Genomic DNA, 25,465 nt, shown 5'->3' with positions numbered 1-25,465 from the left:
CTCTTGGCACTAGTGTAGTGTTTGACACCTAGAAAGATGTTACTAATTAAGTAAATTATCAGCGAAGGTAACATTTATGTACAAGATTAACATAAGTGAACATGATAGCTTTTTGTTTTTATGTTGTTGTTCATGTTAGTGGTTGTTGTCATTTCACGTTAAACTTTCCTTGTTTAAAAATGTCTACATCCAGGGAGAATAATCACAAGAAGTGCTTTTTGTTTGTTTATTTGTTTGTTTTTAAGACAGAGTCTCACTCTGTTGCCCAGGCTGGAGTGCAATGGTGCGATCTCGGGTCACTGCAACTTTGGCCTCCCCAGTTCAAGCAATTCTCCTGCTTCAGCGTCCTGAGTAGCTGGGATTACAGGCACCCACCACCACTCCCAGCTAATTTTTGTACTTTTAGTAGAGACGGAGTTTCACCATGTTGGCCAGGCTGGTCTTGAACTCCTAACCTTAAGTGATCCACTCGCCTCAACCCCCCAAAGTGCTGGGATTACAGGTGTGAGCCACCATGCTCAGCCCACATGAAGTTTTACATAGCATGTTTATTAAAGGTTTTTTTGTTAAAGTAATAAGTAACAAAATAATTAGAAAAGTTAGAAAAATAATGACTATTTGGCAAAGATACTTCTCATACAATGAGAAATATCTTTGTCCAATTAGTTTAAAATCTGATGTAGAGAAACTGTATATCTATATATACATATCAGTATATATATATATGATACTTAAAAAACTACTTTAGTTTTTAGAGTAGTTTTAGTTTCACAGAAAAATTGAGCAGGTACAGAGAACATTTTTGTTTACAATCTAGACAAATGTATCCATTGTGTACAAATTCATTGAAAATAATGTTATATTATGTTATATGTGTACTCAAATACTCTGGGTTGTAATTCAGCAAAACACTGGTTTTTAACAAGTAGCTTCATCTTCATTTTTGTTATTTTCAATAAACACAAATTCTTGTCATTATGCAACAAGGTTATAATAAAGATAGAACTAACCCTCAAAATAAAGTAAGATCCTTAAGAACTTTGCCAAAAAAAAGTTACTTGTGAAGAACTGATGTTTGATCTACAGTTTTATTTTAATTATAGTAACTACTGTAAAGTTCTGTGGGATACATATGTGAAACAAACATATAACATTAATATGCTTTAAGTGGGCTGTATGGACATGAGTCCTGACTATACATATAATATATTCCACGTACTTTTAAACTTACAGCTTTTGCATTGGAAGAAATGAACTGCTGCCTACTCCAGCCCCCATTGTATTGCAGCATTAGTGCTTTCATTCAGCATCAGTGCAACCCAATGTAAAAGAAAATAAACAAACAAATAAACAAAAAACTCAGCTGTGCTGTTCCCAAGAGAGGTTGGACCAGGGTAATGTGAACAAGCATGCCAAGCCATGCCGAGATCTGTTAGCCAGGGATACGTAAGAGAACAGAGAATATTGTGTTTAGAAGCTTTGGCTTCCGTCAGAAGGTATATTTATCTAAGTTCTCCCAAGGAGGGAAGAGAAAAGTAGAGTCATTATCTTTTACATAATAAAATATATCCACAGAATATATGAAAATTCAGACAGAGTTGACTTGGGTCTGTGTTTTTAGTATCTAAAAGAACAATTTTCAAAAATTAAATAAATAATGAAATAAAAGCTATAAGGAAATCAGATAAACTAAGAGAAAAAGTTTTTCAACATCCTTTGTAATTGGAAGCACATTTCAAAGAAAACTGTTCTTAAGATAATTGTCATTATGCAGGTATCTTAAGGATCTGTATAAAATATACGCTTATCATTATATTTTTAGTTATGACTACAGAAGTGTTTAATTGCCATACTAAAAATATCTGTCCTCATATTTTTCATTAATCCAGGCTTTTACTGACTATTTTATTAATACAAAATATTTCTAGGCTCATCCTAGATTTTCGACAGCTTTATTTTCATTATCTGAATTTTTTTTACTTTAAGGTAATTTGTACAAGATATATTTTTAAAAACTTCTGTATTTTTATTTAAATCTCAACCACATTGTAAGCTATTGTGGGCAGGACTTAAAGCACCTACAGAGAACCTATAGAGCCTAGCAGAGTCAGTACTAAGCACATAGAAATTGCTCAATAAAAATGTGATGAATAGTCTCGGTGGACCAGACTATAATATAAATGAATGATGCCTAAGACAAGTAGGTGATATCACACTGTGAGTAATGGTGGCATTTAGTTGGCAGTTGATTCTCTATTTACATTTCTTTTTTGATATTATGCCATTTTGGCAGTCTTATTTAAGTAGTACAAGGAAGTCTTTCCTTAGACTTCTTGAAGAAAACATCTGTATTTTTTTTAACATGGCATGACATGACTGCTGTTAAGAAAAAATGTAAATTAGTTCAATCATTGTGGAAGACAGTATAGAGATTCCTCAAGGATCTAGAACCAGAAATACCATTTGACCCAGTAATCCTATTACTGGGTATATACCCCCAAAATAGAAATCATTCTACTATAAAGACACATGAACATGTATGTTTATTGCAGCACTATTTAAAATAGCAAAGACATGGAACCAACACAAATGCCCATCAGTGATAGACTGGATAAAGAAAATGTGGTTCATATACACCATGGAATACTATGCAGTCATAAAAGGGAATGAGATCATGTCCTTTGCAGGGACATGAATGAAGCTGGAAGCCACCATCCTCAGCAAACTAACACAGGAACAGAAAACCAAACACCACATGTTCTCATTCATAAGTGGGAGCTGAACATTGAGAACACATGGACACAGAGAAGGAAACAACACACACCAGGGCCTGTTGGGGGGTCGGGGGTGAGGGGAGGGAACTTAGAGGATGGGTCAATAGGTGCAGCAAACCACCATAGCACATGTACACTTATGTAACAAACCTGCACGTTTTGTGCATGCATCCTGTTTTTTTTAGAATAAAGAAAAAATGTAAACAATGAAAAACTAGATAAATATAAGCCTGCATATTAAATAACTTCTTTTTTTATATTCATTTTTTAAAATTTTTTATTTCTATAGGTTTTGGGGGAACAAGTGTTATTTGGTTACATGAGTAAGTTCTTTAGTGGTGATTTGTGAGATTTTGGTGAACCCATCACCTGAGCAGTATACACTGAAATAACTTGTTTTAGCCAGCTATCTAATTTCTTACCTTGACAGAAGAGCTGAATTTTAACTTTACACCTACAGGCAGATGAAGGTATTGCAGAAGATATATAGCCTGTACAATAAAATGAACATAATTTGCACACATGAGAACAGGAGAAAATATAAATTGTATTACTTCTTTGAGCAAAGTATAGTGTTCTCTTTACAGAAATAAGTACACCAGAGCCTTAGTAAGTGAATAATAGTTTTCAGTTTATTTCCAGATAAAAGTTGGTGATTGCTAATTATGGCTTTAATCAGTTTATTGGTTTAACATAAAACTCAAATGCTAAATCTCTTTAGATGCATTGGAATTACATAAGAAATATTTGTGGAGCATTACTTTGAGAAAGTAGTAAAAAATAAAATTCCAAGTACATATCAAAAACCTGAGAACTTAAGTAACAAGCTCTGAAATCCTATGGTCCTGGAAGAGCAGAAGAAAATACACGCTAAACCACAGAACAATGAAAAATACAGGATAAAGCAAAAGTAAAGCAGAGAGGAATGTAAATTTGTCACAAAACAAGACAAAGGATAATTTATTAAGAGGTGCTCCATAAACACTTGCTGCTTGTTGTGGTGGTGGTAGGGAGATGCTGCTGCTTGATGGTGTTGGTAAAGAATAAGACATAGGTATTCAAGTAAAATTAGCTAACTGTCATATTAAGTATGGAGGGAATGGGGAAAAGATAGTAATATAGTCTTAAAAAAACTTTTGAAAAAGGAAGAAAAATAAAGGATTGAGTTAGTCTCCTTTCTATGTATCTAATCATCCTGTAAGTTACATTAGTTCTACAAGTATTACTCAATTCTGCCCCTCCGTCTTTGCTGGCATGGTCTACATCTAGGTCTCCATCATTTCCCATCTGCATTGCTTCAGTAACAGGTGTCTTTCTTCTGGTCCTGGCCCCTCCATCCATTTTCCACACCTGCTGCCAGAGTTATGTTTTGTTAATAAAATGAAAATCTGCTTTTTTTTCTTTTTTAAACATCTTTAATATTTTCCTGTGACTTTTAGGATAAAGTTAAACCAACTAAACTTAGTCCACAGAGCTTTCTACAACCTAGTTCCTGCAAGGCTCTGATTTTTTTTACATCCACCTGGATTTACAGCAATGCCTACCTGCTCTCTCACATCTCTGTGCTTTTCATATGCTGTTCTATCTACATTGGATACTCCCTTCTCCCTTTCTGTATGTGACTAACCCTCACTCATCTTTCATATTTCAACAGAAGTACCACTTCCTTCAAGAAACCTCCTTCCTTTAGAAAACGTTTTTCTGTGTTTAATTTGTTGGTTTATTTGTCCATCTTCTTTGCTATCCAAGATGGGAACCATATTTCTCACTTCCACGTCTGGTGTGTCTATCACGGTGTATGGCATAGAGCTGGTACAAACAAATTCTTGCTGGAGAAAGAAAGAACGGAAAGAAGATATGCAACAATCAACTATGAAAGTTTGAGCAAACATAATAATTCAAGATAATTCAAGACTGAAACCATCCTTTTGTTACTTAAAACCAATAGTTAGTCACATTTTCTGAATAACCGCTTGATATGGTTTGGCTCTGTCCCTGCCCAAATCTCATCTTGAATTGTAGCTCCCATAATTCCCACCTGTCATGGGAGGGACCCACTGGGAAGTAATTGAATCATGGGGCGGGTCTTTCCTGTCTGTTCTCATGATAGTGAATACATCTCACAAGAGATGATGGTTTTATAAAGGGGAGTTCCCCTGCACATGCTGTCTTTCCTGCTGCCATGTAAGACATGACTTTGCTCCTCATTCACCTCCTGCCATGATTGTGAGGCCTCCTCAGCTATGTGGAGCTGTGAGTCAATTGAACCTCTTTCCTTTATAGATTGCCCGTTTTAGCTATGTTTTTGTTGGCAGCATGGAAACAGACTGATACAGTAAATTGAGTGTTGCTATAAAGGGCACCTGAGAATGTGGAAACAAGTTTGGAACTGGGTGATAGGTAGAGGTTGAAATAGTGTGCAGGGCTCAGAAGATAGGAAAATGTGGGAAAGTTTGGAACTTCCTAGAGAATTGGAGGGCTCAGAGGACAGAAAGATGCGGGAAAGTATGGAACTTCCTAGAGACTTGTTGAATGGCTTGGAGCAAAATGCTGATAGTGATGTGGACAATGAAATCCAGGCTGACATGGTCTCAGATGGAGATAAGGAACTTGTTGGGAACTGGAACAAAGGTGACTTTTGCTGTGCTTTAGCAAAGAGACTGACGGCTTTTAGCCTCTGCCCTAGATATATGTGGAACTTTGAACTTGAGAGAGATGCTTTGGGATATCTGGTGGAAGAAATTTCTAGGTAGCAAAATGTTCAAGAGGAAGTGAAACATTAAAGTTTGGAAAATTTGCAGCCTGACCATGCAATAGAAAAGAAAAACCCATTTTCTGGGGAGAAATTCAAGCCTGCATCAGAAATTTGCATAAGTAACCAGGAGCCCAATGTGAATCACCAAGAAAATGGAAAAAATGTCTCCAGGGCATGTTGGAGACCTTCCTGGTAGCCCCTCCATCGCAGGCTTGGAGGCTTAGGAGAGAAAAAGTGGATTCCTGGGTCCCCCTGCTGTGTGCAGGCCAGGGGCTTGGCACCCTGCAGCTGCTCCAGCCATGGCTAGAGGGAGCCAAGGTACCGTTCAGGCAGTGGCTTCGGAGGGCGCAGGCCCTGGGCCTTGGCAGCTTCCACACGGTGTTGGGCCTGCAGGTACACAAAGGCCAGGAATTGAAGTTTGGGCCCCTCTTCCTGGATTTCAGAGGATGTGTGCAGATGCCTGGATATCCAGAGATTGGCTACAGGGTCAGGGCCCTCATGGAGAGCCTCTGCTAGGGCAGTACGGAGGGGAGATGTGAGGTTGGAACCCCCATGCAGAGTCCCCACTGAGACACTGCCTAGTAGAGCCATCAGAGGAGGGCTCCCATCCTGCAGACCCCAGAATGTGGATCTCCCAAAGGCTTGTGCGGTGTGCCTGGAAAAGCCTTAGATACTCAATGCCAGCCCATGAAATCAGTCAGGAGAGGGGATGTACCCTGCAAAGCCAGAGGGACAGAGCTGTCTCAGATTATGAGAACCCACCTTTTGCATTGGCGTGACCTGGATGTGAGACATGGAGTCAAAGGAGATCATTTTGGAGCTTTAAGCTTTGACTGCCTCACTGAAATTCATAATTGGGTGGGGCCTGCATCCCCTTCATTTTGGCCAATTGCTACCATGTGGAATAGCTGTATTTACCAAATGCCTGTACCCCCATTGTATCTAGGCAGTAACTAACTTGGTTTTGATTTTACAGGCAAGGGACTTGCCTTGTCTCAGATGAGACTTTGGACTGCAGACTTTTGAGTTAATGCTGAAATGAGTTAAGACTTTGGGGGAGTGTTGGGAAGGCATGATTGGTTTTGAAATGTGAGGACATAGATTTGGGAGGGGTCAAGAGTGGAATGATATGATCTGGCTGTGTCCCCACCCAAATCTCATCTTGAAGTGTAGCTCCCAGAATTCCCACATGTTGTGGGAGGGACCTGAGGGGAGGTAATTGAATCATGGGGTCAGGTCTTTCCTGTTCTGTTCTCATCATGGTGAATAAGTCTCATGGGATCTGATGGTTTTATAAAGACGAGTTCCCTTGCACACACTCTCTTGGCCTGCCGCCATGTAAGACATGACTTTGCTCCTCATTCACCTTCCACCATGAAGTGTGAGGCTTCCCCAGACATATGGAACTGTGAGTCAATTGAACGTCTTTTTTTTTTATAGATTGCCCAGTCTCAGGTATGTCTTTGTTGGCAGTGAGGGAACAGACTAATACACTGCCCAGTTGATGGCTTTCCTGTAACAGACAGAGCTAATTTTACATTTAGAATCAAAGCACGCAGAGTCCTGTTGAGATAGCAAACAAAACTAAGGATGATTGTTGTAACCTTTTCTCACTTGGTAGAATTTAAACACAATCTTGGAAACTCCAGGAAAAATAACAAATTAAAATGTTGCTCTCAAACCTGACCCCACATTTCTTCAAAAGTAGAATAGAGTCGTCTTAGAGGAGCAGCTTAGGCTTGTAAGTTGGATAGCTGTGGGTTTGAATCCTGACTGATACTAGGCAGTTGTATAATCTTCAAGACTCTATATCTGATCTTGTTTAGCCTCAGTTTTCTTATTTGTAAAATAGAGTAACATCTACTTGCAGTGCTGCTGCAAAAATTAGAGCTAAACTATATCAGGTCACTATATTTAGAATCATTACAAATCCCCAAAAGGCAAAGAAGGTCCAAAGAAAGCCATTTACAGGGTGCCTCAACTTTGAGTTTGTGGCTGGAATTTGGATCTAAGAGATAGGAATTATATGTTCTCAAAAGCAGCAGATGGGCATGATAGGGCCCTAAGCAATTTTACTACAATCCTTTTGGAAATCTCTAATTGTTCTCTAAAGAGTTAACTTCAATTATCATTAGCCATCTGCTGAACCAATGGGATTTCCTCTGCAAGTGCCAGCAAGAATATTCCTGCCAAATAAAGAGAAAGTGCTTTTGAAATAAAACTTGTAGAGCATAACTCACACGTAAATACTTTCAAAGTTAAGAGGAAACAGCCTGAGGCTAGAGCCACCATTAATATTCAGAGCAAAATATGCATGTTGTATGATAAGAAAGAGTGAAAGATAAGCAGAGAATTACCAGTGAAGGCTACATCATCTGAGTTGGTTTCAGAGTGGCCTCTGGATGACATCATGATACCAGGGCCAGTTGGGATTAAGGAAGACTCTCTCCCAAGGCACATGTTCATAAAAAGAAAAAGCAGGGTACTGTGGTCAGCCAATGGGATCAGGAAATTCAAGGTACAGAACCTAGTACTTGTGCTACTCTTAGCTCATCACATAGCTACTGCCATATTGCAAAATTCACTGAAACCAAGTGGAAAAACAACAGATGCTAAAAAAGGGAATTTATAGAGATTTGGTGTAGCATTTTCCAAACTCACCTAATCATATTAATCAGGCAGGATTGTTGAAATAGAAAATTTTAGGCTCTTCCCTGGAGGTTGAGTCAGAAAGTCTGGCATGGGGCCGAGGATTTTGCATTTTTTTAAACCTTCCAGGTGATTCTTCTCATCAGGCAGGTTTGACATTGTTACAGTCCAGTGGTTCTTAAAGTATTGCCCCCAGATCAGCAGCATCAGCATTACCTGGGAACTCATTAAAAATGCAAGTTATTGGGACCCCACTCCAGACCTATGAAATGGCAACTATGGGGTGCAGTGGGAAGAGAGACAGCAATCTGTTTTAGAAGACCTCTGGTGATTCTCATCCATATTAAAGTTTCAGATCTACATTTGTCAAATGTGGCCCAGAGAACTAGAAGTGGGGAGTGCAGCTGCTGATTAGGAAATTCTCCTGGCCCAAATTCTCCTAGGACTAAGAAGGTCATGAATTAAATCCAGATACTAATGTTGCTTTTCCCTTGACTTCATTATCTCCTTTTCTATTTTTTAAGGAGCAGTTTAATTTTGTGGCCCTTTTTAACTTTCCCACTGATCAAGGCCAATCCCCTTTCTGCTTGATAGCAAGGATTCTTTATTATTTTCCTCCTTGATCCTCTTGCTTCTTTGCTCTCATCTTAAAGACATTGATAGAATGACATTGGTAGTATGGTCTCTCATTTCTCATATTTCTGTCAAATGTGTTTTAATACTGGAACGTATCCAGAGATCTGCTATAATATTTTTTAATGGCAAGTTTTAGCAGATCTTGTCCTCCTTACCAAGCCTCACTTTTTTTTCACCTTTTGGAAGGGCAAGGCAATGCTTAAAGATATTATCCATTTTTAAAATGGCCATCATTTTGAAGGATAGATTCTGGCATCAATGATATGCAAATATTCCCACTCAATGTACAAAAGCAGAAATAATAAGGGAGTCACTAATCAGCTAATGAGACAATTTTCTGGCACAACTGTGAAGAAAGTGTATTAGTGTTAGTTTCTTAGGGTTGACATCATGAAATACCACATGCTGAGTGGTTTAAGCAACAGAAATTTATTACCTCACAGTTCTGGAGGCTGGAAGTCCAGGATCAAGTTGTTGGCACTGTTGGTTTCTTCCATGAGCTGTGAGGGAAAAACCTGCTCCACCCCTTTCTTATAGCTTCTGCCAGCAAGCTTTGGAGTTTCTTGGTTTGTAGATGCATACCAATCTATGCCTTTAGGTTCACATAGTGTTCTCCCTGAATGTGTGTGTTCCCACTTTTTAAAGAACACCAGTTATATTGATTTAGGGGCCCATCCTACCTCATCTTAACTAATTCTATCTACAATGACCTTATTTTCAAATAAGGTCGCATTAGGTACCAGGAATTAGGACTTCAATATATGAATTTGAAAGGGGGTGACAAAATCAATTTATAACAAGGAGGGTTCATAGAGGGAGGAAACCAAATCTAAACTCCAAAATCATAAAGACCTGACATGATGTTGTCTGTGGGACTTAAAGTGTTTAAAAAATTGAATAAAAATCTCAATGACACGTCAGCCCTGGCTACAATTAAGAAATCTATAAAACATAGATGAAAAAAATTGAAGAGGGGCCGGGCACAGTGGCTCATGCCTGTAATCTCAGCAGTTTGGGAAGCTGTGGCAGACGGATCATTCGAGGTCAGGAGTTCAAAACCAGCCTCGCCAATATGGTGAAACCCCATATCTACTAAAAGTACAAAAATTAGTCAAGCATGGTGGCAGTTGCCTGTAATCCTAGCTACTCGGAAAGCTGAGGCAGGAGAATCATAGAATCATTTGAGCAGGGAGGTGGAGGTTGCAGTGAGCTGAGATCTTGCCACTGCACTCCAGCAGCCTGGGCAACAGAGTGAGACTCCATCTCAAAAAAAAAAAAAAAATTGAAGAGGACACAAATAAATTGAAAGATATCCTATGTTCATGGATTGGAGAAAACAATCATTAAAATTTCCATATTACCCCAATCTACAGATTCAATGCAATCTACAGATTCAATGCAATTCTTATCAAAATACTAGTGACATTCCTCACAGAAATAGAAAAAACAATTTTAAAATTTATGTGGAACCACGGAAGACCCAGATAGCCACAGCAATTCTGAGCAAAAAAGACAAAGCTAGATGCATCACACTATCTGACTTCGAAATATACTACAAAGCTCTAGTAACCAACACAGAATAATACTGGCATAAAAATAGACACATAGATCAATGGAATAGAGAACCAAGAAATAAATTCATGCATTTACAGCCAACTGATTTTTGACGAAGATGCCAAGAACACACATTGGAGAAAGGACAATCTCTTCAATAAATGGTGCTGAAAAAAATGGATAGCCACATGCAGAAGCATGAAACTAGACCCCCATCTCTCACAGTATACAAAAATCAACTCTAACTGGATTAAAGACTCAAACATAAGATCCAAACTATGAAACTACTACAGCAAAAGATAGAGGAAATGCTTCATGAAATTGAACTGGGAAAAGGTTTTTTGAATAAAACTTCAAAAGCCCTGGCAACAAAAGCTAAAATAGACAAATGAGATTACATAAAACTAAAAAGCTTCTGTACAGCAAAGGAAATGATCAATGAAGTGAAAAGAAAATCTACAGAATGAGAGAAATATTTGCAAACTATGCATCTGATAATAAGTTAATACCCTGATTATATAAAAAACTCAACAACTCAATGGCCAAAACCCAAAAAATCAGATAAAAAATGGCAAAAGACCTGAATAGACATTTTTTCACAAGAGTACATACAAATAACCAACAGATAGATTAAAAATGCAAAACTTCACTAATCACCTGAGGAATGCTCATCAAAACCACAATGGTATCACCTCACTGCAGTTAAAACAGCTTTTTTCAAAAAGACAAACATGCTGGCAAAGGAAAGGGAACTCTTACACACGATTGGTGGAAATATAAGGTAATACAGCCATTATGGAAAACAGTATAAAGTTTCCTTTAAAAACTAGAAATAGACTACCATTTGATCTAGCAAGCTCATTACTGGGCATATATCAAAGAAAATGAAATCGGTATGTTGATGATACATCTGCACACCCATGTTTATTATAGTGCTATTCACAGTAGTCAAGATATGGAATGAACCTAGATGACCATCTACAGATGAATGGATTAAAAATTGTTATACACACAAACACACACACATGCAGACACACAATAGAATACCATTTAACCATAACACAGAATGAAATCATGTCAGTTGAAGCAACGTAGATGAACCTGGAGGACATTATATTATGTGAAATAAGCTAGACACAGAAAGACAAACTGCATAATCTCACTCATGTGAAATCTAAAAACATTGATTTCATAGAAATAGAGAGTAAAATAGTGGCTACCAAAGGCTGGAAGGGGGGACAACAAAAGGTTGGTCAATTGCTGCAACGTTAAATTATACAGGAAGAATAAGTTTTGGTGTTGTATTACACAATACAGTGACTATAGAAAAATAACATTGTACTACATATTCAAGATAGCTAGAAGAGAAGATTTTGAAGGTTGTCACCACAAAGAAATGTCTAAAATGATGGATATGATAACTACTCCAATTTGATCATTACACTATGTACATGTGCCTCAAAACATCACATTGTACCCCAGAAATATGTAATATTATTGTGTCAATTATAAATTTAAAAATAAATTTTAAAAAGGAAGAAAATTCAAAAGTGGTCAGATTTCTGACCCTGTATTATCTGGAAGTTTTCCCTGCAAAAAAATAAATAGTACAAAGTTTTTAAAGCACATGGTGGGAAAGATATTTATGTTGTTCATAATGGATTTTAAATGATCAAGTTAAATGAAGGTCAAATTGCTCTATTTATATTGGAGAGGATGAAATGTTGTAGGAATGCCTGCAGTTACGTTATCAACTCAGGTTGACTTCACTGCTTTGAATAGTCAGATTTCTCCCTGGTAGTTTCCAAATCAGAACAATATACTCATTTAGGGGTTGAAGTTTGAAAGGAAATCAGATGATGCCCATTTAAAAGATGATTAAGGTTTACATAATTCTTTGGACAAGGGGACATTCGAATAGATGTATGATGTTATTACCGAAAACAGAGGTTAATAGTTGTCTCACTGTTGCCTTCTTGACTCAGACTTTCTTATTTGGGGATTTTAATTTACGATTCTGTCCTGTACACAGACAAATCTTCACAAGAATATAACAAACAGCTTTACTTCTATTGTTACTATTATTAAGACAGAGTCTTGTTCTGTCACCTAGGCTGGAGTGCAGTGACAAAATCTCGCCTCACAGGAACCTCCGACTCCCTGGCTCAAGCGATTCTCCTGCCTCAACCTCCCAAGTAGCTGGGATTACAGGCATGGGCCACCTCACCTGGCTAATTTTTGTCGAGATGGGGTTTCACCATGTTGGCCAGGCTGTTCTCGAACCCCTGGCCTCAAGTGATCTGCCCACTTCCGCTTCCCAAAGTGTCAGGATTACAGCTGTGAGCCACCACACAGCCTATATTTATTTATAAAAGTTTCATCTTGAGTTTGGGTCAACTGCCTCTGCTGGTATCTTGACTCCATAGTCCAGTTGTTGGCACCAATTCATCTTGGTGCTTTAGAAGCCTCTAAAGGCAGTTCATGATCATTCAGAACATTGCTCAGTGTTGTTTCTAATGCTTGTATTGTTAGTCTTATCCTGACCTTTACGTTGTGCCAGTAAAATTCCATTGATTATATTTTTTCATTTCATCACTGTATTTGTGTACTCATGCCCCACTTTTTAAAGAAAAAAGTCATGTTTGAAAGACATGTACTTGTGTTCTAAGAAGTGATGCAACTATTTTTGGAAAAAAAAAAAATGAAACTTTAAGCATATTTCCAAAGTTCTTTTTGTATCAACACTTCTTGCTGTGTTTTCCCAGTTACGGTGGTATTTGACAAACACCTGGCTGATACTAATCTGGTACACAGCTGGACAAATCATTTTCTTAAAATGGTTCCCCCAAAAGGCTAATTATAAATATAAATGCCTGTAATTACTTAGAGTATATACAAATCATTATAGGAAATATAGAGGGAACTGCATTCGTATGATCCACTTAACAACATTCACGATATCCTGTAATGAATTCACACTTCAACTTCACTCAGACTTCAAAATTATACAAAAAATTAACTCTTTCTCATGGTGGAGATAGCTGCCCAAACCTGTAATGGCTGTCCTCTACAGTGAAGTTGGAAATAGCTACTTGAGATGCCATAGACAGCCAAAGTCCAGTTAAGATCAATCCTAGACTGGGTGTTGAAAAATTTCTTTAGGTCTTTCAGGTTTACATTTGGAATCTGGACAGTTGTCCAAAAAATAAATGTATAATTGTGCATAGTGATGGGATTAGTGACCCTAGAATATATTTCTGTAACAATTCCACCCTTGAATGAATGATAAAATCAAATAGGGCCAAATATATATCAAGCAAGAAGTTCTGCTTTGAGAACTAATGACCAATTTCTAGTGATATTATCAGAAGTGTTATAAAACTTTTTTTATTTCCTGTATTTCTACTGGGGAAAGAGGACAAGGGCAGGATGGATAACTCCAAGTACTTCCAATCTCTACTAACAGAACAATATTAGATCATGCAGAGAAGGAACATGTCTCCATCTGATTTTAGTATTGTTTTTCTTAGTAGGACTTTTCCCCTCTCTCCCTTCCTCCTTATCTTCCTTCCCTTCTTCCTTTCCTCCATCTTTCTTCTCTGTTTCTCGCTTTCTCTCTTTGAATACTTACTAAGTGAATAAAATCCACTTGATTGTGCACTACTTGGGAATAAGAATCAGGTTATTTCTAGAATGATGAGAATCTATCTGATGCAAAGAGAAAAGGGAAGTAAACTTTAAAAAAGTTTATAATCTATAAGTGCTTTATATCTACTATGTCATGTGATAGCCACCACCTTTCTATGAGATTATTATTATAAACTTTCATTTCAGAGATAAGAAGCTTGAGGCTCATCTCTAATTTATGGCTTAATTAACTTACTTCCTCAAGGCCTATAGATTTATGTGGTGTTATTAGAATTCAAACTCAAGTTTGTCTGGCTACAAATTCTGTATTTCCACTGTAAGTTTCAAAACATTTTCAATGTTTACAACTGACTGCAAATAGATTGATGTTAGAAATTATGTTAGCCATAAGAAAATAATTATAGTTTCTTAAAGAAATGATGAGACTAAAATCTTAGCTTCCTTCCCTATTCGCTTCTCTCTTTTTTCATATAGGTAGAGATTAAAATTCTCTGAAACTGTGGGTATTATTTTAGCCAGAAAACATGACAATATAGAATACCTTACTTTAATTTCATTTTCAGTAGTATATTTGTAGTTTCTTTTTTTTAACGGTCATGTGTTTTTTCTTCCTTTTAGTGTTGAATGTAGAAAACAGAATTTCAAATTCCCAACTATGTAACAACAAAAAAGAAATATTTGTATTACATGATAGCAAAATGCCATCAAGAGACCCTATTGAATTTACTTTCTCACACAGAGAAAACTGTAATAGTGAAAGGGGAAAAAAGGATATTAAACTTGAAATCAGAGGTACTGGTTTTGGAATATAGACTCTTCCACCTATCATATACGTGAATTTGGGTAAATGATTTAAAAGCTTTAAGCTTCAGTTCCATCATCTATGACAAAGATCTTAATGCCCATTTGCAGGATTGCTGTGAGGATTAATATGAGGAGACTATGTTAAGACTGTCTGAACATTTTTAAGAGTAATGTCGACATACAGCACTAGTACTGCCAGTCCCCACTCCTGACCCCACAGAAGATCCTGCCAAACTATAATGGTAGTCTTTCCAGCAGATCTGGACAGCTTCACAAAATGAAGCCTCATAAAAGTCTTTTATAAAGACTGGTCCAATAGACCTTCCTAGGTTAGTGGACCCAAAAAGTGGACATAATTAAGCTAGATGGATCCTCTTGGCCAGCCTGGGTTCAGGTGAGAGATATCCACTGCCCTTTTCCACCTAAGGCCTAAAATACTAAGTTGGAGCTTTAGCCCTTTAACTTAATTCCTGTTAAAATGCAGCTATCTTAGTGAGTGATTTCTATATACTTTCCTGGGAGCAGCGTGTGACAGAGGAGTGGGGACGGGACAGGGAAAGCATGAGTTGAACACAGAAGAGACAGAAAAGCATGCCTATGACTAGGAGATGCTTGGTAGGCAGAACCGAGGGGATGAATGACAGTGTTCCCCATTTCTGTAGTCTCTTCAGATTCAGCCATGCCCATGTTGTTTATCTTTTGCTATACTTTTAGTCTATTTACCATTACCCCTCACAGAAATAGCTATTTTCATTGAACATCATCTGTGGTTTAGCATCCTTCTAGGAACTTTGCATATTAAATTATAGCAAGCTTATACTGTTATTACTCTTTTTCAGATGAGAAAAAGAAGACTCAGAGAGCAAGTAAGTTGCAAAGATAGTATTAAAACTAGTTGCATTTGAATCCAAACCTCTTCACTTTCTGCCAACTGTACTGTTTGTCATATTTCCTTAAATTGAAAGTTCGTGTTTTCCTTCCTATCAAGAATGTGAAGGAACCTATCCCAGTCACAAAGATTAGGATATATAGTAGCAGCAGCAACAACAACAACAAATCCCCAAGTCTTAGCATTTAAAAATGACAAAAGGTCTTTGCCCCCATATAACATGTCTGTTGGGGATCAGCTGTGGGGACTTGGCAGCACATTGTCCTCATCAGAGACTCAGGCTATTGGAGGCTTCAAGCATCACTAGACTCCACTGCACACAGAAGGGAAGAACTGTATGGCAGCTCTTAAATACTGCCAGACCAAGTATGTGATGCCAACCTAAAGAAGTATGGTTGTTCCTCGGTATCCACTGGGGATTAGTTACATGACCACCTTCCCCCTACCAAAATCCCAGGATGCTCAAATCCCTTATATAAATTAGAGTAGTATTTGCATATAACCTATGCACATCCTCCTGAACATTTTAAATAATCTCTGGATTATTTATAATGCCTAATACAATGTAAATGTTGTATAAATAGTGATTATACTGTATCACCTTTTTATTTGTATTATTTTTATTTTCATATTGTTATTTTTTATTATTTTCTTTTCTCAATATTTTGATCTGTGGTTAGTTAATCTGCAGTTTGCAGAACTCTCAGATACAGAGGGCAACTGCACATTGTGGGCAAGTACAAACCTATCGTGTGCTGAACAGAGAAGAAATGGAGGTACTCGTGAGCAGCATTAATGTGTACACCAGAATCTCAACAGTAAAGACAGAATAACATGAAGAAAATAACTACAGGAGTGCTGTGTTTTAAAAAAGCAAGCTCCTCCAGCTGAGTTTGTGACTCTAATCCCTGCTTATTTTGAGCACTTTCCATGTGTTGATTGACTCGGAAAGGTGGGAGATTACCAGCAAGCCAGGTCATTTGGGCAAACATGGGCATATTTTTAGCAAAGCTGAACAAACTGGTTGGTCACTCGAACTACCCAATTTAGACTTATAGTAAGAATAGCACATGGTTCAGAATTGCCAAGACTGCTGCTTTAGTCAACAGAAATTTTTTCATATGCATGCTGGTAATGCAGTGCATCTCTGGAAGAAATGCAAGAGTATTTTAACATTTGGTCCAGAAGAAATATGTAAAGGGTGTTTGTAGAATTTGATGCCCTCTTCAGTGACATAAGGTTATGGGTTTGTGAATGGAAAATCTGTTATTTGTTCAGGTTATTAAAACACATTCTAATTCAACATCATTAGACTGGCAAAAAACTTCCACTTTTAGGACTCTATAAAACCTACATTAACCTTGAATTAACAAAACTAGGAAGTGTGATGTAGTAGAAGGGGCTTTAAGGAAGGCAGGGTTCATAACCCCATCACGAAGTTACTTACTACAAGAACTTTAATTCTGAATCTTTCAGGCCATTTCTCATCTGTTATGTGAGAATATTAATAAGTAAATGTGGCAAGTACTGTTGACTCTACCTTCAAAATATATCTTCTACTATTCATTTCTCTCCATCTCTAAAACTCCTAATTCAGGCAAAACTAATTTCTCAGCTAGACCACCACACCTGCTCCTAATACTTCTCCACTTGCCCCCACCAGCCCACTCATTACTCAGCAGACATAAGGATCTTTCCTGCCCCAGGTTCTTTGCACATGCTATCCCACTTTTTTCCCTACCTCCTGCATGCTACAGCTCTGTTTCTTCCTTTGGTTAACAGCTTAAGTACTTTCTCGAAGCATTTTTTCTTGATATTCCTATCTACAGTAGGTTTCTCTATTATTTACTATCTCAGCTCATTTGTTTCCTTCATGGTGCCTGTCCTATTTAGTAATTTGTTTCTGTTTGTCTGTCTACCTTTTTGTTTTCTATATTAGAATATGAGTTTCCCAAGGGCAGAGACAGGCTTTGTCTTGTCTGTCCTTGAATCTACCAAGCACAGTGCCTGGCACATTGGAGGTGCTAAGGAAATATTAGTGTAAAGAGTGAAGGAATTGCTGTGAGGAATATGTGAGTTAATTAAGTGCATCTTTAGGTACCTGGGTAGTGCTCAGTTAATATTGTTATTCTTTTCCTTTTCTTTACCAGTGCTGCCCAATCAATCTCCTTCTTCTACTCCGTATATTTCCCTGCTGAAGGTATACTAGCATGTTTCCCCATCATATGCAAATATCCTACAAATCCAAAGTAAAAGGCAAAGATATTGAAATACAGGGAACAGAAGAAATTGCTCCTGACTTTGATACATTGCTCTTTTAATACATCTGTGTTTTTGTGAATTATGCACTGAAACTCTTACATGACCTTTCCTACACCAAATTTAGAGGTTTGTAATCAGCAAACAAGTGTTTGTTTCTTATGATTTCTTTCTATAGGTTATACAGTATCTCTAAGTTTTCTTGAACAATGGTGTTAAAAATAATTTTAATGCTTTATTGTTATTTTCTTTTATTATTCAAAAATGGGTGGAAAATGAAGATGCAAAAATGCAGAAAGTAGTTATAAAAAGTTAGGTAAGGAACAGTAGAGTTAAGACAAAGGTAAAAGTAATTAAGCATGCAATCGATAGTTAGCATTTAGTTTCTATTGGACACATTAAAATTAAACTGATTAATAGTGTCTTCATTTACAAAGGAAGCAAATTTAAAGAATAGCATGAAATGGGCCTGGCACAGTGGCTTACGCCTGTAATTCCAGCACTTTGGAGGCCGAGGCAGGCAGATTACTTGAGATCAGGGGTTTTAGGCCAGCCTGGTCAACATGGTGAAACCCCATCTCTACAAAATAAAAACAACAACAAAAAAAATGAAAATTAGCCAGGCGTGGTGGTAGGCTCCTGTAGTCCCAGCTACTCAGGAGGCTGAGGTGAGAGAATCGCTTGAACCTGGAAGGTGGAGGTTGCAGTGAGCCAAGATCGTCCTGGGCGACAGAGCAAGACTTCATCTAAAAAAAATAAAATAAAAAGAAGAAGAAGAAGAATAGCATGAAATGCTGGAATTTATTGGGTATTATATCTAAAAGGAGAGGCATATTTATGAAATTTAAATCAGTTTTAGCTCTCTGTAGAACAGAATCCCCACTCTAAAATACATTATCTCTTGCATATTTGACTTTCTTATATGTTTTTAGTCTGATTTTGTTTGAAAGTAGTGGATTGCCAATACGCTTGCTCCTTTTTCCCGTGAAAGGTGAGCAAACCCACCCTGTCATTTACTTATGAGGAACTTGTGACCCAGTGAGGTGAAGGAATTAGTCCTACTGGAATGCCTCCATTCTTTGTAATCAGTTGCCTGAATTATTTTAGAGTCTGTTTATTTTAAAGGAATCTTTCATAGTTCTGGCAAAAATTTATTTATAAATGGCTTTGAGTTTGAGGTAGAAAATATTAACTATTAGACAGCTGATTGTTCTAGATGTGCAAGAAGTAAGGCACTCAGGATGTCCTTAACTTTGTTTTCCTCTTGGTTGGTTAATCCCTCCATATGCAATAGGTTGTTTACTTCAATCTGTTTCTCATTTAAGACCACTGAAAGTTAATCCATGGAGCTCACACTCTGTACCTTCTGAAATAACTCTAACAAATCAAGTTAAAATTTTCCTGACCCTTCTTCGTGTCTTCCTTCACTCCTTAACTCCTGCCAGTACGTGCTGGGAATTTGCCTCTGGACTTTGACACATTTACTCTTTTAGATTTGTTATGTCCCACATTAACTGAACTTTGCCATATTCTTAATGTTGATCTGGATTTGCAGAGGTGGTTTTGGAGTTCTGCCCATATTCCCAGTGTCTAATCCCCAGCAAGCCTCTCTCTATTTTCCTCCACTATCCACTGCCTTACATTAAATTACCATTATGCTAGCTACATTTCAAGTTCTTGGTAGCCACATGTAACTACTGGTAATCATATTGGACAGGATAGAAAGTTGTATTGAACAGTGCTACCCTAGAATATCTAGACCTTCACCTACCTGTGCCAGCGTCAGTATCTAGAAAACTAGAATGTCTCAAGTGTCCATAAAATCATTTGGCAAGTTAAGTCTCAGTAAAAATGTCCTTGATGTTTTTTTCTTTGTAGTTAATGATGCATTTCATTGCTTTCCAAACTCTTTCACAAGGCTTACAAAATCCATCATGACCTTTACCATTTGTCTAACTTCATTATTTCTCTTTCCCTTGAACTGTACTCTTTTGAACTATTTTACATTCCTTGACTCCAAGGCTAAACTTGCTACTCCTTCTGTCTGGAATATTCTTCCTTTCCTGTTCAGTGTCTCAAGTATTCTCTGGTGCTATGGGACACTTTAAGAGGAGGAGCTTAATCCCTTTGGACAACTTAGAGATGTGGAATTAATTTAATGTCGCTTGATGATTTCTATCATTCAACATCAGAAAGCAATTTAGGGCACAGGCAATGTGAAACTGCATTTTGTACACAGAAAATTATGAAATACTAAACTTCTTAAGGGAGGAGCCATTAACCTCAGAAACTTAGATTGTTCCTATTGTTTTATAAGAAACAAATCTTTCGTATATTTATCCGTAGATGTGTGTTTGTGTATGTAACTCCCTTCCGCCGCATAAACTTTTCCCAACACTCCTTTACCCCACGCCTGAAGAGACAATGGAGGAGAGAATGGAGGAGCTCTGTGAATAAAATGCAAACTCTATTTGAATCCAGTCCAATATTTAACTCAAAGAAAAAATTTTAATACTAGCCAGAACTTTTGAGAAGCGTGCTCTAATTCGTCCTTTCTTTTTCTTTATGACATCTGTCTAAAGGGAACATTTGTGGAAGAGACTCATCCACAGAGAGAGTAGGGTTGGCAGAAGCAATGCAGATAGGCTTCTGCAGATAGGCTGTGGTCCTTCCTGTAAGGCAGCATTTCACAATTCAGATGAAATGACTCTTGTCATTTTTCTTTTCAGTTATTGCAAAATCTGCTTCAGTGAAACATGCTTATCTGTTTCTGTATAATTAAAAAAAATCTTGTACAAGTAACGAAGTACATGAAATCAAACACACTTGCTAAACTAATGGCATATGGAGTTATTATGCACGTGAGACTCAAGTCTCAGTGATTAGATTATGCCTCTCCCCTTCCATTATGACTGCAAATTGGTATGCAGCCATTTTCAAATTAGCGACTGTATTAGTTAGTTCACAGCCTGCTGTAAAGGTCTTCTTGAGACTGGGTAAATTATAAAGGAAAGAGGTTTAATTGACTCACAGTTCCACAGAGCTGGGGAAACCTCAGGAAACTTACAGTTAATGGTGGAAGGGGAAGCAAACACATCCTTATTCACATGGCAGCAGGAAGGAGAATTGTAGAGCAAAGCAGGGTGGGGAAAAGTCCGTTATAAAACCATCAGATCTCATGAGACCTCACTCACTATCACAAGACCAGCATGGAGGTAACCACCCCCATGATTCAATTACCTCCCACTGGGTCCCTACCATGTATAATTCAAGCAGAGATTTGGGTGGGGATACAGCCAAAGCATATCAGTGGCAACGTATAAATCTCAAAGGCTCATGTCTAGTTTTGCAGAGCATTGGTTTTATATGATAGCAGTTACTGTCCCTATGCAGTGAAGTGTGATACAGGCTTTTTCTAAGGCATTACAGGAAACCTCTACCATTTCATCACACTCACTATGCTAAAAGCCATGATGAAATCCATGACTGTGCTCTCTAGCACTTAATTATGTTTTGATTACTACAAATAATTTATTTTTTTACATTTTGCTTCTTAGAATTCCCAGCCACAAACACCCATTCATCCTATCAAAACAGAACAAACCATAGCACATATATGTAAACATTTTTAGAACATGTACACGTAGATAAACAAGTGTATAGAACGTAACAAAGTTTCTAAACCATATCACATTGTTTATTTTAGTCACCAGTACTCAACAATGATTCAAGAAATTCAGACCCCAACAGCATTAATGTCTCAGCAATGTAACCTGAAACTCAGCAACCCAAATCTACAGTAGTGGGAAAGCCTGGGTTTGTGCATTGTCCGATGTGAAGGTTAATTCGAATTATTTTTCCAGACATATGGAGTTCTCCTTTACTTTCAGAAAAAGAAAGAAAGAAAAAGTTGTTGCACACCTACTGTATTAGTCCATTTTTACACTGCTGAAAAAGACATACCCAATCAAGACTGAGAAGAAAAAGAGGTTTAATTGGACTTACAGTTCCACATGGCTGAGGAGATGTCAGAATTATGGTGGGAGCTGAAAGGCACTTCTTACATGGTGGTAGCAAGAGAAGATGAGGAGGAAGCAAAAGCAGAAACCCCTGATAAACCCATCTTATCTTGTGAGGCTTATTCACTATCATGAGACTAGCATGGGAAAGACCGGCCCCCATGATTCATTTACCTCCCACTGGGTCCCTCCCACAACATGTGGGAATTCTGGGAGATACAATTCAAGTTGAAATTTGGGTGGGGACACAGCCAAACTGTATCACCTACTTTAGCTTAAGCATGGTGTTAGATATATCCACAGAAGTTACCATGTTTAATTTTAACAATGACCCTGAGAGTAAGAATTTTTATCCCTATTTTTACTGATGAGGAAAACTAAGGCATAGAGCAGATCATTGACTTCCCCAAGAACACAGTGCTGAGGCTGAGATACAAACCTAGTCCTGGAACTCTTGAGTTTATTCCTTTTCTAATGTACCGTGCTATCCCAGGTCACTGAAAACCTACTTATGGAGTTACTGCACCTGGAATTATATAAGTCTGCTCAAGGACAAGCAGGGGCAAATCAACCAGTGAAAATAAAGTATAGCAGAACCGGGAACATAAGACCTGTGAGCATGCATATCTGATTCCTGGAATGCAAATGGTCAGGACCCCAGCCAAATGAACTGAAGGTTAGTTCTGGGCCACAGTCCAATTGGAAATAGAAGTGTCAAATAGAAAACCTATAGCAGAAGTTCCGGTAGGCAAACTGTGCCAGTTGAGTGGACTATTGGAGATCATTTTGGTGTGGTGGGTCCATGAACACCCAGGACCTACCAGATACACCAGCTTTACAGCAACGGACTAACTAATTCCAGACTCTGCAGACTGGCTTACTATATGCCTGCCTGTTAAATTGTGTAAGATGTTTTATGCAGATTATCTCAATGAAACCTCACCACAGCAGGAAGAAGCAAGATTGTTTTATTACTTGCCATAGTTTAACATGGCAGGTTAAGTAGTGGTAAAGAGCACGCACTGTAGAACCAAGTTTCCTGGGTCTGTCTTCTGGTTCTTACCAATTCTGTTATCATCTATTTGGGGAAATTTGCTTAACTCTGTCTGTGACCCACTTCATTTGTAAACTGGGAGTGAGATAGTGCTCAAGTTTTCAGCTTTCCAAGAGTATAAAGGCTTCAAATGGGGCCTGGCTCAGGAAATTGCTAGGCAAGTGTATGATAAATAAAGGAGAAAACTAAGTAACTTGGGTAAATTCATAAAAGTGATATGTGGTGGGGCTGGGACTTAAATCCAGAGATATCTGACTCTGCAAGTGAGGGACCTCAGGGACTTCACCTCTGAGGGGACTAGGGAAAGCAGATATCAACACAATCCCAAGAGTCCTCTTATTTTCTCTCTCATCCTATATTGGCTACCGTTTCGATGGAAGTCATGAAATTACTAAAAGTAATTTCAGAATCTCCTTTGCATAAGGCCCTTTCCAATGTTAGCTGTGCACTTAAAATATTTAACTTTGCAATACCAAATCCACCTCCATCTTACTTCAATACTATTTTGCATTCTCTGGTTTCTGAGGAAATCACAAAAATGAGCCCTAGGCAAAAATTTTAGGTTAGAGTATGAAGAACCCTATTGAGTTTATGCACATCAGTAATGCCTTCTCCAAAATAAGAAATATGCTTTCAATTTACATCATAAAATGAGATTTTTTAAAAAGTTAAAGGTTTTATTGATGCACTTCCTTAAACTAGTATTTCAAAAGATAAAAACAGCTTTTCTCTGTTAAGAAGGAATGGCTGTTTTATGAGTGTTTTCTTCTTAACTTGACATGAAGCAAATTTAAGCAATATATAGCTAGATCTGTTCAGTCTCACCAATATATGAGAAAGTAAATTTTCATAAAAAAAACTTTACCTGTGCCAAATCAAGTCCTATTAGGTTGTATAAGATCTGTTATCCCATGACTCCGAGTCCTTGGAATGCATCCCAGTTCAGTCTAGCAGAGTTACTTTCTCTGGACTTCATATGCATAGACATACGCTTGGTAGACAGAGACACAGTGTGAATTTGAAAGCAGGTATTTTCAAGCAAAAGCCATGAATGACAGTTCTAAATGAGAGCAAAATCTCCTGTGTTCCTTTTCACAAAACTGCAAAGCTGTAAGAACAACACGGGTGTGTTTTGTTGCATTTTCTTGGATCAGCTTTTGTCTCACTGTTACTAGTCTCTCCAAGTTTGAAGAGGCCATGTTTAGTTTGTTTTTCAACCCAGAAAATATAAGAATTATATCATGAAGTGATGCAATATGTATAACAGTAGGGAAATTAAGCAAAGATTTTGAAGTCAATCAAGCCCCTGTGGGTTCGAATAGTTCCTCAGCCACTAGCTAACTATAGGACTTTAATCAAGTTATTTAAGCTCCCCAACAGATTACAGTAGAAACAATCTGGAGACTTGGAGACCTCTCAGGAGGCTACTGCACTGGTACGGATGAGAAGTTCTCTTTAGAATGGAGATACTACAATGAAGAGGGAAAATCTACTTATGATTTGGCCTTTGGGAGGCAAATATTCTGATTGGCTCTGGTGACAAGGACCCAAAACCCTTTTTACCTAATTTCTCTGATGAAAATCCACTGATTATAGAGCACAGATTTAGTACTTCTGATGAAGAGGTAAGGCTATAAAAAGACATATCCACAAATGGCACAATAGGTAGCATTTTTCATCTTCATTCAGTCTCAGCAGAAAGTTCTTGAGCATCCACTTATTTCAGATACAGGGTTAGGCATTCAATTTGGTGTTAGGTATACATAATAAAACTTCACCAGCTCAAAGACATATAAAGATATGCTATCCATGTTTATCTGGACTTTTTTGTTTCAAACAACACCAAAATTCAGATTTAAAAAATGACATTTATTGATGAAATAACTGAAAAGTCTAGGACCTCAGAAATGCATGGACCTTGGTGCTCAAATGATGTGTGAAGAATCTGGGTTTTTCTGTCTTTTGCCCTGACTTCTTCTATACTGGTTTCATTCTCAAAGGTACTCTTTTCATGGTGGTAACAGGGCAACCAGGAGCTTCAAGCTGTTGTCTTTACTATTTGAGAAATTTCAGTGGTAAAAAAATTGCTTTGACTTCTCACAATTTCTCAGAAGTTCTAGCAAATATTGCTGATAGAGTTATTGACCTAGTTTAGGTCATATATCTCTATGTCCCTTCTTGAGCTAATTACCTTGTACTAGGCTTGACCCTAATGAGCTTTATAGACTAGAATAGAGGAAAGTGGCTCCAAAAAAGATGATTGAATAATTATTACTAGCATCAAGGAAGAATGACTTGAGTGATTAAAAATTACATATGTCAACTATACTAATTTAAAAATTACATATGTCAACTATACTATCTAATTGATTTAAGTAAGTACTCTTTTTTATTGCAAATGACAGAAATTCATTCCAGATTAAA

At 37.6% G+C, this 25,465-nt stretch overlaps 1 protein-coding gene across 10 annotated transcripts in view, besides 1 other annotated feature; it reads left to right on the top strand.

Moving 5' to 3' along the window:
- Window positions 1-25,465, top strand: part of PTGER3 (prostaglandin E receptor 3) — a 195,459-nt gene that overhangs the window by 78,368 nt on the left and 91,626 nt on the right. For 5 of the 10 annotated variants that reach the window (XR_946714.3, NR_028294.2, NR_028292.2 and 2 more), the window contains one exon: window positions 15,660-15,686. The exons of 3 other annotated variants lie outside the window; for them this stretch is intronic. Coding sequence is in view for 4 of the 7 variants with exons in the window: in NM_198716.2 (NP_942009.1) it covers window positions 15,660-15,686 (27 nt within the window). In the remaining 3 variants the exon portion in view is untranslated. Of the gene's footprint in view, window positions 1-15,659; window positions 15,687-16,389; window positions 17,018-25,465 lie in introns of those variants that run through there. 2 more of the 10 variants (NM_198718.2, NM_001126044.2) reach the window with 1 other exon arrangement.
- Window positions 5,384-5,883: an enhancer, noted in NCBI's record as "H3K4me1 hESC enhancer chr1:71429249-71429748 (GRCh37/hg19 assembly coordinates)". NCBI's record gives its function as "activates a minimal SCP1, AML or CMV promoter by ChIP-STARR-seq in primed H9 embryonic stem cells {active_cell/tissue: H9 hESC(primed)}" and the evidence as "EXISTENCE:reporter gene assay evidence [ECO:0000049][PMID:30033119]".

Source organism: Homo sapiens, chromosome 1 (assembly GCF_000001405.40).
Source record: "Homo sapiens chromosome 1, GRCh38.p14 Primary Assembly".
Taxonomy (NCBI): Eukaryota; Metazoa; Chordata; class Mammalia; order Primates; family Hominidae; genus Homo; species Homo sapiens.
This window is presented reverse-complemented; position numbering and strand designations above follow the sequence as displayed.